The sequence below is a fragment of the Homo sapiens genome, chromosome 8 (assembly GCF_000001405.40).
Source record: "Homo sapiens chromosome 8, GRCh38.p14 Primary Assembly".
In the NCBI taxonomy this organism is placed as follows: Eukaryota; Metazoa; Chordata; class Mammalia; order Primates; family Hominidae; genus Homo; species Homo sapiens.
The window spans coordinates 8,780,883-8,797,352 of record NC_000008.11 but is presented as its reverse complement, the minus strand read 5'-3'; the positions used below and the strand labels follow the sequence as shown (position 1 = coordinate 8,797,352).

Genomic DNA, 16,470 nt, shown 5'->3' with positions numbered 1-16,470 from the left:
AGTCCCTCTGGCCCCGGGACCTGGCTCCTGATCCCAGCTCCATAGATATGACCACAAAAATCCAGGTTAAACTGCATCTGCACAAACCTTGCAAAGTCCTCCTGAACAGACATAATTCTTCTGGATGACATCAGCATCATGATTTATGCAGCAAAACAGGAACTTTTATTTCCTCTTTTTTGTGATTTTTTTTTTTTTTTTTACTTTAGCTAATAAAGTCAGAACATTTTTTAACAGCCTTTTTGAGATGTCATTCACATACCACAGTTCACTTACCTAAGTGTACAGTTCATTGGTTTTCAGTTTATTTGCAGGTATATGGAACCAAAAAGAACATTTTTTTTGTTGTTGTTTTTTGAGATGGAGTCTCGCTCTGTCACCCAGGCTGGAGTGCAGTGGTGCGATCTCGGCTCACTGCAAGCTCCGCCTCCCGGGTTCACCCCATTCTCCTGCCTCAGCCTCCCGAGTAGCTGGGACTACAGGCGCCCACCACCATGCCCAGCTAATTTTTTTGTATTTTTAGTAGAGACAGGGTTTCACCCTGTTAGCCAGGATGATCTCGATCTCCTGACCTCGGGATCCGCCCGTCTTGGCCTCCCAAAGTGCTGGGATTACAGGCGTGAGCCACCACGTCCGGCCTTTTTTTGCCTTTTTTTTTTTTTTTGTTTTGAGACGGAGTCTTGCTCTGTCGCCCAGGCTGGAGTGCAGTGGCGCCATCTTGGCTCACTGCAAGCTCCGCCTTCCGGGTTCGGGCCATTCTCCTGCCTCAGCCTCCCGAGTAGCTGGGACTACAGGCGCCCGCCACCGCGCCCGGCTAATTTTTTTGTATTTTTAGTAGAGACGGGGTTTCACCCTGTTAGCCAGGATGATCTCGATCTCCTGACCTCGGGATCCGCCCGTCTTGGCCTCCCAAAGTGCTGGGATTACAAAAGAAAATAGTTTTTTGACGGGCAGTCTTAACTCTGTCATTGCAGAATGAAGTTGGCTCTCACATCAAAAACCAGCGCAGGCCCATTCCATGAGCAAAGCCTGCAGAAAGTCAGTAATAGGCCGTTTTCTGTTGCATGGTTCTGATTGCGGAGTCAGTCCCTGAAAATCAAGGGCTGTGCAGTTTGCCACCACCTTGCCCCAAAATGGACTTGAAGACAGAGAACGCACACATGCCAAGTAACTTTCAGATAGAACATTGGGTTACTACTATTCTAGATAACACTCATCCTGTTGGTTTGGGTTTTATGTATGTGTGTTTTTCGTTTTGTTTTGTTTGTATTAAGAACCAAAGAGGCCGCTTTTAAGCTGAGATGAAATGCCTGTTACTTCAAATCCTGAAAAGCAGCAGCCACAGATCTTCTTGGGTCAGATCTCATGATCTGGGTGATGTCAGCACCATGATTTCTCCAGCATAGTATTCATATCCATGCAGCAAACTCGACTCTTTCTTCCTAGCTGGCCACATGGAATTTTTTAATGAAAAAATTATGTATGAATCTAAGCCTGTTTTTAGGGAGCTTGGAAAGTGCGCCTTTGGGAATTGTGACCTGTCATCTCCTCTTGGGAAACTTGCTGTCCGGCTGCATTCCAGGCAGTGTGACAGGCATCCATCTCACCCCTCACATGGCAGCTTCCCTGCCTTTGGTGTGCTCCCTGCAAAGCGAGGGTTCCCAGTGGCATTCTTACTCATTAGCTGCTGCAGTAGAAGTAGAGGGCACTCGGCTCAGTGCCCCGTTTCTCCAAACTGGGAAACTCATTACATAGAACATCCCTAATCTATCCTTGCTGGAAAATATCACCGAACACCCAAGGGAAACTGTTATCTAATGCTCTTGTATTCAGAGTACTATTTAACTATCATGTGCATAGTTTAATTTATCACTGACCCTAAGACATTGTGAATCTTGAAGTGCTTCTTAAATATTAAAATAGGATTACAGAATAACTGTTAAAAGTAATTGCACAATTACTTTTGCACCAACCGAATATTAACCTGAATATCCCCTGTCCTGAACATATCAAACAACGGAAATTTTATTGTTTCTCTTTTAATTTCTTTGAAATTGTACATATTGGTCCCTTTCTTTCAGATACACCTGGGTGAGGATGGATAAGGGGATATTATATGTTTTCTTTTTCTTCTGTCTCTTTTTTTTAATACCCCGCAAGTTCTTAAAGCTCAAGGGGATATTACAGAACCAGCAAGGTATGAAACAGAGGAAACAAAAATTCAATATACTTTGCATTGGCGTAAACTTTCCAGAGCCAAGAGAGACATGAACCTATTGTTTTGCCATAGCCAAGTGCCGTCGAATAGGTGCGATAGAGGTAGGAGTTAAAATATCCATTTGCGCTAGAAACCTTCCTGGCACCAAGCCAGCTTTATCAGTGTTTTCCCATGGGCTTCTTGTACTGCCGCAGAAAGACCACGTTTATACCAACCTGAAAAAAATGTTATCAGCCTCTCTCTCGACAGCGTATTGAACCTGAACGAACAAGCAGCCTAAAGTCATGGGTAAGCGGCGGTACATGGCGCCAGACATCCAAATGCCGAGGAAGCCTCTTTAGGCATTGAACCACTTTTGACCTAGCTATCAGAATCATTTTATTTTGAAAGAGGTTAAAAAAAAAGTCTCATGAAATGGATGACAGCTTTGCAATATAATTCTCAACTCTAAATGAAGGAATGTTCTCTAAGTAGGGAAGTTTCATATTCCTGGCAAGACGTTTCTTGGAAAATTACCATATTTTAGTGCAGCTGCAAGGGGTAAATGATCTCTTGTGTGACTTTATAGAAAAGCACACGTAGATGTGAAGCCTGTGCTCGAGCTGCCCAGTGTTCCCCCACCTTCACCGCCTTAAGCACCCACAGTTTACATCCATGAACACATGGACAAAAACAAACTCATGTGGAGGCCGGGCCAGGCTCCGGGGAAGGTCCCATTCATGGGTGGTTGACAGTGGATTGGAAGCGGGAGATTTGGGGGGATCGGTTAGGATAGCTGGCAAAGAATCTGTGCTTAAGTCAACACAGCTTGGGCCTGAGCCTGAGACTTGGGGTCTCAGCAGGCACTAGACATTGGAAGTCCGGGGCTATTGCACTGGCTTTCAACTCCAGCCGAGGTAACTTAAGCAGGTCACCATAGAGGTCAGGCTTTTTTTTTTCTTTTTTGACAAAGGGTCTCACTCTGTCACCCAGGCTGGAGTGCAGTGGTGCGATCTCAGCTCATTGCAAACTCCACCTCCAGGGTTCAAGTGATTCTTCTGCCTCAGCCTCCTAAGTAGCTAGGACTACAGGCGCACACAACCACACCTAGCTAATTTTTTGTATTTTTTGGTAGAGACGGGGTTTCATCATGTTGGCTGGGCTGGTCTCGAACTCCTGACCTCAAGTGATCCATCTGCCTCAGCCTCCGAAAATGCTGGGATTACAGGCATGAGCCACCGTGCCCAGCCAAGGTCAGGCTTTCTTAATCAGACCTGTTAAGTTAGAATTTCTCAGGGAAGGGACCAGGCATGAGTCACTAAAAAACAGAAGAAGCCACCCAGATGAGTCTAACGTGTGTACACGACTTTCTGATGGTTCAGTTCCAGTCCATGCCTCTAAGGGTGGGTTCCCTGGCCAGTGGGGCCTTAGGACTGCTCTGTGGTCAATACCTGCTCTGCAGCACAAAGGCAAAACTGTCCATGCTGTCTGCTCTCAGCCTCAGCACAGTCCCTCCCACTCTCAGGTAAGGTGAACATATCACTCACTGTTCAAATCAGGAGAGGATTGAGAGTGATGGGACGGCTGTCAGTCATGTTGGGATGATGGGTGCCCTAGAGAAAGCTCCCAGGTAGACCAGAATAATTACCCTAGGTGATTGCTGGCTTTTGTGGGGCTTAGGTGGCTGATCTGGATCTCATGATGGTTTTTAAAAAGACATTCCAAGCTCTTCTTTGGCTGGTTTAGCCCTCTCCTTTATTGGTCAAATCAGAGACTTGTCATTTAACTGCCTGTCTTTGACTAATGGTGCTGCAATGCTTTCTTTATAAAGAAGAAACTGTAGATGACTGTTACCTGATTGGCCTTTTTTAAATGAATTCCAAGCTTTTCTATTTCTTATTTTAAACAATTTGTAGACATTTTATTCCCCCATGGGGAGAGACAGAGAATAAGAAGTAGGTAGTGATATTTTTTTTTTTGTTTTAACAACATGATTTACTCTTATAACTTGTCTCAGTGGATTGGTGGTTGAGGTCTCCACCAGCGTTTCATTGGGAAGAGGTTTCAGGAACAGGATGAAATGCCTCCCCTTCTGCACCTCACCCTCCAGGGAGAAACAGGAGCTGAGTGGCTTCTTCTCCCCCTTGCTGATTATCAGATAGAAATGTGAGTCATTTCCATGCTTTGAATATCTTGAGATGATTTTCAAGGATATCTGCATTTAAGATGAGGTGAACATTCACCTAGTAGCAAATTTGCCTGGGTCGCTCTGAAAAATTCTGGCCTCCTCAAGGATACAGATTGTGACAGATACATTTTTAAAAGCTTTATTGATGTATAATTTCCATACCAGAAAATTCACCTGTGCAATGATTACTAACGTATTTGCAGAGTTGTATTTATACAACCATCACCACAATCTAATTTTAGAACGTTCCTTCACCCCAAAAAGAAATCTCCTGCCTATTTGCAGTTAACTTGTGTCTTATCCAACACCTAGTTCATGCAGTCAGTAAGTTTTTTTTGGTTTGTTTTTTTGGTTATTTTTTTGAGATGAAGTCTCACTCTGTAGCCCAGGCTGGAGTGCAGTGGCGTGATCTTGGCTCACCACAACCTCCGCCTCCTGGGTTCAAGCAATTCTTCTGCCTCAGCCTCCAGAGTAGCTGGGATTATAGGCACACGCCACTGCACCTAGCTAATTTTTTATTTTTTGTATTAGTAGAGAAGGAGTTTCACCATGTTGACCAGGCTGGTCTTGAACTCCCGACCTCAGATAATCTGCCCGCCTTGGCCTCCCAAAGTGCTAGGATTACAGGCGTGAGCCACGCGCCCGGCCAATAAATATTTTTAGTGTCACTTTCAGGAATGGTTTTGCAGGCTGGTGTGTTAGTATGAAGCAGATTTCTGAGCTTTTGTTTTGGGACAGAGTCTCACTCCTTCACCCAGGCTGGAGTACAGTGGCATGATCTCGGCTCACTGCAACCTCTGCCCCCTGGGTTCAAATGATTCTCCTGTTATCCCTGCCGAGTAGCTGGGACTACAGGTACATGCCACCATGCCTGGCTAATTTTTGTATTTTTGGTAGAGATAGGGTTTCACTGTGTTAGCCAGGATGGTCTCGATCTCCTGACCGTGATCCGCCTGCCTCGGCCTCCCAGAGTGCTGGGATTACAGGCGTGAGCCACCGTGCCTGGCCGATTTCTGAGTTTTAAAGAGGTTCTCATAAACACGTTATCCTTGGCACAGTTCAGTCTAAAGGCAGTGGCTTATCTTGCTCCTGCCACTGCCAGCCCCCTATTTCCTGGATGGTGGAGAGGAGCTGGAGCTGCTTGGAGAGCTCCTCCTTTAGAACTTCTTCATGGCAGCCTAATTAGGCCCTAGATATTTCAGGGGTACTGAGCCTTGACATTAGGAGTCAAAAGATAGGGCAAACCTATACTTCCCGTGGGCAAGGTAGGAAGCAAGTAGACCGCATTATCTTTTAAAGCTTTTATTTGTGAATTCCTGTCTCTGTCCAGCTACTCTTCAGGTTGAGACCCAATATTCCATTTCCCAGGGAGTGTGAGCTTCTCTGGACAAATGGCAGCTTGCTGGTTGCGTTTCATTTCTAGGGTTCCTGCAGAATGCTTCTCTTTCTCCTTCTAAAGAGCTTTAGAGCAAATCCGTCCTCCACCAAACTGAAGACTCTTTGATAACCTGCCAGATAACCCAGTTTATCTACTGATTTTTGGGTAAAAGACCAAGCAAATTCAACAGGTCATCATATGAAAATGTTTTACCTTGAGGCATTACTGGAATGCGACCCACATTCTAACATGTGGTTTCTTAATGGACTGACCCTTGAATATACAGGAAATGGGCATGTGTCACTCTTATTTCCTGATGGTTGACGTTTCTCCTGCAGCGATACCGTATCTGTCTGTGCTCCGATATGTGGGGAATGGTGGGAGTTCTGAGACTGAAGAAGTTAGTTCATTCTGATTTTGGCTGATCATGTGTTAACAGAATTAGCAAAAAAAAAAAAAAAAAACGGGTGGGGTGGTGGTTTGAAAATGGTTGAGCTAAGCTTTCTCCTTTTTTAGGAAGTACTAATAATAATAGAGGGGAAGGCTGAGTTATTGCATTTCGAAATACCCTTTTAAAATCTTGGATTATTGCCTCTATACTGTAGAGTTCCCATTCAAGCAAGATCCCCACTAAATTCCAGTTACTTGCTAGCTGTTTGTAAGTATTCTCAGAAGTACCGTGGTTACTTTGCACAGGAATTTTGGCAGTAACATCGTTTTGACATAAAGACATTTAAGACCAGTTGCAGTAGCCTTTCATAAAAAGCAGGATGAAGTCTGTAGCCTTTATATCACCAAATAAACAGGCCACGTATGCCTAACAGCACACAAATTAGCATGAACTTGATAAAATATTTTTAAAAAGCAGTGGCGTGATATGAATTAGGCTTCATCACAATGGAGAATTTTTCACTGACCACAGAATTTTAAAATATAGAGGGTGAGGATGGGATGGTATTTTATAAGAAAAGGCCACATGTGGAGGTTGCCTGTGGGGTGTTTCACATTGATTTGCATTGATTTGTTTTGTTCTATGCAAGGAGTGAGGCAGCTCTTTGCCTTGCTGTTTTAACAAGCTAGGAGGAATTGTGTTTCTTTAATTATTTAGTCTCCCGTCAGCCACATTGATACTGGAATTTTTCCCTCTCTGCTTAGGTATCTTCATACTTTCTTGGAAAATTAAGTGGAAAAGATAGTGCTTCTTTTCCTTATGCCATCATTTTTACTGTACCCAAACTGTGACTTTAGGAGCACCAATTTTTAAGGGTAAGTCTCCGTGAAACAGAGAGAATTTCTTAAATAGGTAAGGCCCTCTTGAGGACTCAGAGAGATTAGGGGGGATATGGGGGTGTTGGGATGAAGAGATTTTGGAGAACAGGAATCCTAGACAAACCTTATACATCTCTAGAATCAAGTTGCATATGGGAATTAGGAAGAAGGGAACTGCTTGATTCTTTTGCTTAATTTACTATGATATTGCATAGACAGTGATCTTAGATCCTTGTTCAAAAAAGGAAGTCATTTTTGAAAAATGTTAATATTATGCAGAAATAAAACATCAAGTGGGTCCACACCTTCAGGAACTACACAGGAAAGTACCGGGATGGTCACAAGTAGGGAAAGGGAGGGACTGGGGGCAGGAGGGGAGAGGGGAGGAACGGGCAAGGCCGGGTAGGCAGGTCTAGGACAGGCTTATTTGAATAATCTCAGTGGCCCTGGGGCAGAGGGGTTGCCTTAGTCGTCTGGCACCTGGCTCAGGGGTGATTAGGGCAGGTGGATGGTGGCCTGGAGTGTGAGAGCCAGTAAAGGAGGTGTTCCAGGTGTGGGTTCAGGATTAGTTGGTTTGTATTGGAAGAGTATACTCCGGGCAAATTGTTTTACCATCTCTAGGAATTGGCTAATCCTAGGAGGGGCAGTCCCTCCAGAGTTTGCAAGGTCCGGAGTAGGAAAGCACCAGAATACAGAAAATAAAAGACATGGTTAATACAACATGCCATGGCTTCAGTTTCAGCCTAAGTGTCTCGGTACCTTGCGTCATAATTTCTTTGTTGCATCCTGGAAGGGCAGATTTCAATTCCCTAACCTGGGAGGACTCGGGGGCTGGGTGCCCCCCAGGCTGGACCCTCCCTTCAGCCCCAGACCTCTGTTTCCAATGTCTCACGTGGCATCATCCCTGGATGTCTGTAGGCTTCACAGGTGTACAGCTGAATTTATTGCCTTCCTCCCGCAAAGTTCTTCCTCAGTCTGTGACCTGTCTTGGGTAACAGCGTAGCTTTGTACCATCGGCTCCAAGCTAGGAGTCCGTAAGCCTCATTGCCTTCCTCTGCTTTCTTCCCTATATGTAGTAATTCTCCAACACCTTTTATCCCATCTCATCTGTGTCGTGACATGAATGAATTTGACCCACATCTTCAGCTTCAGCCTCGGGCTTCCCTCTAGGGCCCAACCCCCCCAGCCACCACTTCCCCCGTCTCTGCCAAGGTTCCTGTGACTGAGTCTCAGCTGGCTGCCTGCTCTCTTATCTTTTTGTCCTTCAAACCGACAATAATTGTCTTTTAACATCAGACCTCATCACATCTCTCCCTGTTGAAAAGCCTTGGATGGCTTCCTGGTGATCACAGGCTCAAGTTCAAACTCCTGGCCGTGGCTCACAAGGCCCTGCACAATCAGACCCAGCCACTCTGCCAACACACAGATACTCCCTTACCATGGGAGGTCAGCCGTGGTGGGCCGTGGCTGCCTCTCAGTCCACTGGCTGGCTGCTGCCCTTCTCTCCTACCCAGTTAAGGCCCATTGGTCGCTGAGGCCAAGGTCATATGTCAGCTCCTCTGGGGAGCCTCCCGTAACCATCCTAACTGTAACCAGTCACTCTGTTCTTCATGTCTCCTCAATACTTTTTGTTTCTTTGTTTGAGACAGAGTCTTGGTCTGTCACCCAGGCTGGAGTGTATTGGCACAATCTTGGTTCACTGCACCCTCCGCCTCCTGGGTTCAAGCAATTATCCTGCCTCAGCCCCCCGAGTAGCTGGGACTACAGGCATGCACCACCACGCCTGGCTAATTTTTGCATTTTTAGTAGAGACAGGGTTTTGCCATGTTGGCCAGGCTGGTCTCAAACTCCTGACCTCAGGTGATCTGCCTGCCTCAGCCTTCCAAAGCAGTGGGATTACAGGCATGAGCTGCCGCACCTGGCTCTCCTCAGTACTTTTTATATACCTCTTTTGGTAATGATCTCATAGTATCTTGGCTACTTTTTACCTGTGGCTTTTTCATCACATCTGACCCATCATTCATTCAACAGATCTTTGTTGAGTAATTATCCTCTAGTAGGCATTGGGCCGGGTGTTGAGGATACATAAAGAACTAAATCAAATCCTGCCCTCCAGAACCTAATAGCCTCTTTGGAGAAGATAGGAATCAAAGCCATAACCAGGCAAACTTATCAGAGTCTAATTATAATTGAAACATGGTACCTGCCATGATAGGTGTATGAACAGAGTCTTGTAAGCACAGGGAAGAAAGAACTCTACCAGGAAGAATCAGGAAAAGTTCCAGGAAGTCGTACTTGAGATGGATCTTGAAGAAGGAGGACAAGTTTATGGAGCTAGAGAGGTGGGGAGAAACAGAGAAGGTTGGTGATTTTGATGGTTGTTTTCTCTAAGATCCCAAATGTGGAAAAAGGCATATAGATGTGAAACAATTTTCAAGCTGGTTGAACAGTGGGATTTTCCGTCTAGGTGTCCTTGATTAGGTATTCTTGTGTTTCTCAGTCTTACGTGTAGCCCGGGGAGCAGACTGTCTGCATTTCTGAAGGTCTGTCAGATTCAGTGGGAAAATGTTTATGTAACACATCTCCCACGTGAACCCAAAACTCACACCACCAAAGTTAGCTGCTAGGTTGAGACGTGTGTTTTTACACTGGCGTCCTCCTTACAGTTAGATTGATTATATTATTAGTTGAATTTGAGGCAGTTTTCAAAACCCTCTCTTCTGGGAGTTTACTATATTAATAGGCATTCAAAAAATTCTCGTGGCAGAGTGCCTTAGAAATGTGAAACTCTTTCCTAGGGCTCCAAATATCCAACTTCTCTTTGAGCTTTGGAGTCAGATCACCCTAGTGAAAGGCCTGGCTCTGTCACTCGCTAGTATGCACCCTTGGGGAAGTTATTTCATCTTTTGGAACCTTAGTTCCCTTCCTAGTAAGATGCTGAGGCCGGGCGCAGTGGCTCACACCTGTAATCCCAGTACTTTGGGAGGCCAAGGTGGGCGGATCATGAGGTCAGGAGATCAAGATCATCCTGGCTAACATGGTGAAACCCCATCTCTACTAAAAATGCAAAAAATTAGCCGCGTGTGGTGGCGGGCACATGTAGTCCTAGCTACTCGGGAGGCTGAGGCAGGAGAATGGCATGAACCCAGGAGGCGGAGCTTGCAGTGAGCCGAGATTGCGCCACTGCACTCCAGCCTGGGCAACAGAGCGAGACTCTGTCTCAAAAAAAAAAAAATAATAATAATACTGAGTAAGATGGAGCTTACATGGTGGGATTATTAGGAGTTGAAGATAAATAATGCACTAGAGTGAACAACCTAATTCCTGGCATGTAGTTAGTAAATGAGAGGTTTTTGGTTTTTTTGTTTTGTTTTGTTTTGTTTTGCTTTGCTTTGCTTTGTTTTGGTGATGTCGTTATTATCATGCTTGAATGAGCCCATGACTGAATCTTGTATGGACTGGAGAAGTGTTTAGGCAGATGCTGAATTATCAGTGTCCATGAAATCAGCGTCTCTCCTAATGAGAGATGGGGGATTGGAGGAAACGAATCGTAACTCCTTTTTCCTTTCCTTTCAATGTCTTTGTATATTTTATTAAAAGTTGCTAAAAAAAAAAAACCACTTTCAAAAACATCCCATCACATGTCATTGTAGGGAAGCAAAAATGAGAAAAACACTTGATATTTTTTCCTCTAACCATTTTATCGGAACTGAATCCCGCTTTATTTGCTGAGGCTGCAGTAGTTTATTCATTCTATATTGATCAGACTCCAGATTTGCGTGGACAACTTAACTTATAACATTTTAAGTAAAATCATGCATTTTAGGCAGACAGACATCTCACTTTTTAGTATATATTCCTTCTTCTAGAGGATTATTTGGTGTGTGTCTGCGTGTGACCGTGTGTGTTTATTGAAAGGAAACAGTTCCGTGTTTAGAGTTTTGGGTTGTTAGTTAGAGGTCTAGTTAAGCTATAAAATTACAGTGGAATAAGTGATGACAGCCAGTTAGTACAGTTCCCTCTTATAGCTGAACTGAGCTTAACACACCAACAGAAATGTTTGGCAAATAGACTGCTAAAATGACTCTTTCCTTTGTGGGGACATAAGTTGCCTGACATTTACATGTTTATAATGAGTCCTGGAAGTAGAAATGAAAATATGTGCAGAAAATAGATTTCTATCATCACTTCCTTTTCTTATTGAGGGTAGCATTGTCCAGTACGTTTTTGTCATCTCTGTGCTTTCTTGTTGTCCACCCATACAGGAAGAATGTTGGTGAAAAGCACAGAAACCAGTGACGTTTGTGGCTGTGGAATTTCCATGGAGAAAAGAGAGCATCTGAACACCTGGACCATCTTTTGCACCTGGCAGACCCTCTGCACTCACCCCAGCGTGTTCTGTGAACTTGAGTGACAACGCGTGCTTGCAGGGTGCTTTTTGGACGACTGGGGAAGAGGTGGGGAGGGGGTGGTGGGGGGAAGCATGGACGAGAACATGGAGCAAATGTTTTACAACCTGAACCTCAGAACTGTGATCCTCCAAGGAGCGCGCTACTTGAAGAAAAGAAAAAAAAAAAAAAAAAGTCGAATGGCTTCTCAGGGATTTTGTTTTCCGTGCACATATAAGCCATAGTTACAGTACAGGTGGCAGTATTTAGAGCACTCAGATTTCAGTTCTGTTAAATGTGAAAGAGGGATCGACTGACGTTCATTGCTGTTCCATAACTAGTGTAAAATATGTATATGTTTATCTTTATTTTTATAATATGCAAATACATTTAAATTTATACAGTTTGAAGCTTCTAGCGTTAGTTCACACTGGGTGCAATATTCTGCATGAGAACTGTGCCAAGATGGGGCTGATTTCTTATTTTAGTATAAGACTTTTTTGTTTTTTCTTTATTCTTTAATCCTCTTCACATTAAAAAAAAAATCTCTCTGTTAGCCCATGGATTAAGTGTTGGTTCATAGAGATTGCCAATAATCAGAAAGAACCTTAAATGTGCATTTAAGACAGTGTCCCTTCCCTTCTTTTCAATGAAGGTCCCTGCCTATATAAATCATCTGGCACGCTGGTGGGAAATCCTTTGCTCTTCCAACGTGTTATTAGTGCTGGGCAGAGATGGGGCACACTCAGGGGCCAAAGAGGACAAAAAGTCCATGCAAAACTTGAGTCTTTTAATGGCTTAAGATAATCAGGAGTCAGTTCTGAATCTTACAAAGTGCTCTGCTTAATAAGTACCTTACTTAGCAGAGCACTTTGCAAACATATTACTTATTAGCAGAGCTCTTTGTAGACCTTCCACATCTGGCTGTCAGATCTTAAGGTTGTGAATTTAGGCTCCAGTTACATTCACTGGAGAGCATAATCCCACACGGGTTATTTATAAATACAGAGCCTCTGATTGGACGGTCTCCTGCCAAGAACTAGTAATACCCTTGTTTTAAAATCTTCACAAGGTAAAACTTAAAAAGCCAACCAAACAAATTGCTCTCCATTCTACTTTTAATTGGGCCAAACAGCATATGCTACAGTAGTAACATGTTTTTCGGAGAGTGTAAAAAACTCTGTTTACATTTGCCTCCTCCGTGGGTTGATCGAAAATGTATAAAACTGACTGCTTCTCGCCAGCCTCAGACAAGAAGAGTGAGTTGCTGGTACTCGCTACTCTTTTACTTCTTTTGTAAAGTATTGACTCTTGGAAGGCTACAGTATACAAAGTCTCAACATGTTTTTTAAAAGAAATAAGGAGCAAGCGACTGCCCTGCTAGAAATCACAAACCGATTTTTGTAGAATATTTTGTGCCCCAGGCATTAATTTCACTGACTCCAGAACCTGCAGTTCAGAGAATGATTTCTTATGATGATAAAAATCGAATGGGATCAGACGATGTTTGCATTTTTTTAATACTTGAATAGGACACCTCAAGTTTGAGATTTCATTTTCTTTTAGAACACAGTCACAAGATTAATCTGGTGAATCCTTTTGTCACAGTTCTCGTGTGTGTGTGCGCGTCTCCGTGTGTGTGTGTGTGCATGTGTGTAAAACTGAATGGTCACATTTAATTGCTTTTTGGACCATTGAATAGTTGGGAAGTAAGAATTTTTTAATTGGCATGAGACGGTTCCTCAACTGTTAAATTAACCAACTTTGACCTGTCTTTAGAAAAAGGCTTATTTGTATGATTTTGGGCTAACTCCCCGGGGACCATATTAAATGACAAAAATGCTCCTTTGGGTGACACACCCTACAAAGTATTTGCTGTTACGAACATAAACGCCCACATTCTTAATATCTAATATTTTTGACCAGTGATGTTTTATGCTGTCATCTGAACCCTAGAGAAGCAGTGTCAGAGGAAACCTTGGTGTCACATGTGTCTTAGCAAAAGGGTTACCATGATCGAGGGTCATGTGACCAAAAGATGCTCCAGAGAAGCTTGAGAATTTGTTTCAAGTTGGGAGGAGGGTTGGAGATACAAAAATCACTCTGCTCTACAGGACTCTTCAGCTGTCTATGCAAGAAATTCCGTTTTCTCTTTCAGCACCTGGAAAGACACAGCAGCCCACCGAGGCGATAGGTGATTCACTAAGCACAAGAGGAATGTTTTCTAAGCAAGGCGTCCCTTGCCTCTCAAACAAATGCCCTCCAAGTTTGTTAGGGTTTCTATTCCTGCAACTTGTGGTATCAAAACCACTTCCTGGAATTGTCAAAGCACTGCCAAAATAAATGTTTTTCCCCCTTCTAAGAAAAAAAAAATGACAGTGCTCATATTTGACACTTGTGTATTGGACTCTCTTTTGAATGAATAAAAAGGAAAAGGGGTTTGGTGTAATTCCTGATGGGGTGCGTGTTGTTTTTCATGCCATGGTTTGTGAATTTTAATTGTGGTTTCCCATTTCGTTGTTGTAACTGGGCAGAAATTAAAAAAGAAAAATCAATAAAAATACAAAGAAATGGTTAAACAGTTGTATTCCCAGAACTTAATTATTTCAGATTTTGTTCATTTGTTTTTACTTTTAATTCTATCAGTTAAGGAATGACTTTTATAGTTTTAGTCCTTAGTGGTACTGTTGGAGCTGTGGGAGGTGGGTGGTGGTAGCTCTCATCTGTTTGGTCTCCGAAGAGAAAACTAAAGAATCCCTGTTTTAAAACTGCCTCTGTTTTCAGGCTGAGGATATAACTTGAAGATCAGCTCTCTTAAATCAGAATCTTTTTTTTTTTTTCAATGATCCACTATATTCCTAAGTCACAGCTGTTGAATTTATGGTAGCTTTGGAAGTTCCCCTGATCTTTCTTTCAAAGGCTCTTAGCAGAAGTCCTGCTACATACTGCCTCAGGGTGCCCTATTTGCAAACTGGAAGAGCAGGCCCCTCAGGTACCCATCAGAGGATTTAGTACTCCATATTGTTTAAATAAAGGCAAAGAGAAGATAAGGAAGGACCAAAGCCAGGGTGTTAACGTGGTGAATCCATAACGGGTCTGCAGCAACCTCAATTCTTGCCTCCTCAGAAGAAAGAATTCAAGCGAGGGGCATAAGACAGCAGGAGAGACGGAGGCAAGTTTTAGGGCAGGAGGGAAAGTTTATTAAAAAGCTTTAGAACAGGAACGAAAGGAAGTACACTTGGAAGAGGGCCAAGCAGGCGGCTTGAGAGAGCAAGTGCACAGTTTGACCTTTGACCTGGGGTTTTATACGTGGGCATTTTTCCGAGGTCTCCCCTGATTCTTCCTTGGGGTTGGCCGTCCACATACGCAGAGGCCTGCCAGCGCTTGGGAGGGGGCGCATGCGCAGTGTATTACTGGAGTTGTGCGCATGCTCACTTGAGGTGTTCTTCCCTTACTAGTTGAATGTTCCTAGAAGGTCCTATACCAGTCAAGCGCCGTCCTTTTGCCTCTTAATGCGCATGCTTCAGCCCACGCACCCAAATCCTGAGCTCTTATCCGAAAGCTGCTGATCACCAGCTTCAGGTGTTTTCTGTCTGTTGGGAGCCTGCCTTTCCCTGGCACCGGCTGTCACCAATTATTTTAGAGAGACAGTGTAACAACCACCTGACCATCTCACCTGATGGTTGCTGGGGGGCGTTCTTCTGCCCTGCTTATGTGTGCCTGACTACCTACTGTAACAAGAGGAGCCCTGCCCTGAAGACAGCGCAATACAGGGAAGAAGGGATCGCTTCAGACCAGGAGGGCCTCACTGCAAGACTCCTGACAAGGCAGGTAGAACCGTGGGGTGTGCAGAATTCAAAGCCACTTTTGCCAACAGAACAGAGGAAAGCAGGAGGCAACTAGAATTTCCAAAAGAAGTGTCACAAGAGGTGCGTCCCACGTGGGAGAGGTGTGGCTGGCCCTACGGCTGCATCCCGCTGAGAGGTGACAGCGTGCTGGCCCTCCTCACAGCCCTCGCTCGCTCTCGGCGCCTCCTCTGCCTGGGCTCCCACTTTAGCGGCACTTGAGGAGCCCTTCAGCCACCGCTGCACTGTGGGAGCCCCTTTCTGGGCTGGCCAAGGCCGGAGCCGGCTCCCTCAGCTTGCAGGGAGGTGTGGAGGGAGAGGCGCGAGCGGGAACCCGGGCTGCGCGCGGCGCTTGCGGGCCAGCTGGAGTTCCGGGTGGGCGTGGGCTTGGCGGGCCCCGCACTAGGAGCAGCCGGCCGGCCCTGCCGGCCCCGGGCAATGAGGGGCTTAGCACCCGGGCCAGCGGCTGCAGAGGGTGTACTGGGTGCCCCAGCAGTGCCAGCCCACCGGCGCTGCGCTCGATTTCTCACCGGGCCTTAGCTGCCTTCCCGCGGGGCAGGGCTCGGGACCTGCAGCCCGCCATGCCTGAACCTCCCACCCCCTCCGTGGGCTCCTGTGCGGCCCAAGCCTCCCCGATGAGCGCCGCCCCCTGCTCCACGGCGCCCAGTCCCATCGACCACCCAACGGCTGAGGAGTGCGGGCGCACGGCGCGCGACTGGCAGGCAGCTCCACCTGCAGCCCCGGTGCGGGATCCACTGGGTGAAGCCAGCTGGGCTCCTGAGTCTGGTAGGGACGTGGAGAACCTTTATGTCTAGCTCAGGGATTGTAAATACACCGATCAGCACCCTGTGTCTAGCTCAGGGTTTGTGAACGCACCAATTGACACTCTGTATCTAGCTATTCTGGTGGGGCCTTGGAGAACCTTTGTGTCTAGCTCAGGGATTGTAAACGCACCAATAAGCGCCCTGTCAAAACAGACCACTTGGCTCTACCAATCAGCAGGATGTGGGTGGGGCCGGATAAGAGAATAAAAGCGGGCCGCCCGAGCCAGCATTGGCAACCTGCTCGGGTCTCCTTCCACGTTGTGGAAGCGTTGTTCCTTCGCTGTTTGTAGTAAATCCTGCTGCTGCTCACTCTTGGGGTCCACACTGCCTTTATGAGCTGTAACATTCACCTCAAAGGTCTGCATCTTCACTGCTGCCTGA

General features: G+C 45.3%; 1 protein-coding gene across 2 annotated transcripts in view, besides 1 other annotated feature; it reads left to right on the top strand.

The window, feature by feature from the left end:
- MFHAS1 (multifunctional ROCO family signaling regulator 1) overlaps positions 1-13,999 on the top strand; it is a 110,277-nt gene extending 96,278 nt beyond the window's left edge. The window contains exon 3 of one of the 2 annotated variants that reach the window (NM_004225.3): positions 11,298-13,999. In NM_004225.3, coding sequence (NP_004216.2) covers positions 11,298-11,331 — 34 coding nt within the window. In that variant the 3' untranslated portion in view covers positions 11,332-13,999. Of the gene's footprint in view, positions 1-6,918; positions 7,029-11,297 lie in introns of those variants that run through there. The other variant, XM_047422419.1, reaches the window with a different exon arrangement.
- Positions 2,188-2,388: a silencer, noted in NCBI's record as "peak6897 fragment used in MPRA reporter construct". NCBI's record gives its function as "represses an SCP1 promoter by STARR-seq MPRAs in K562 erythroleukemia cells {active_cell/tissue: K562}" and the evidence as "EXISTENCE:reporter gene assay evidence [ECO:0000049][PMID:32103011]".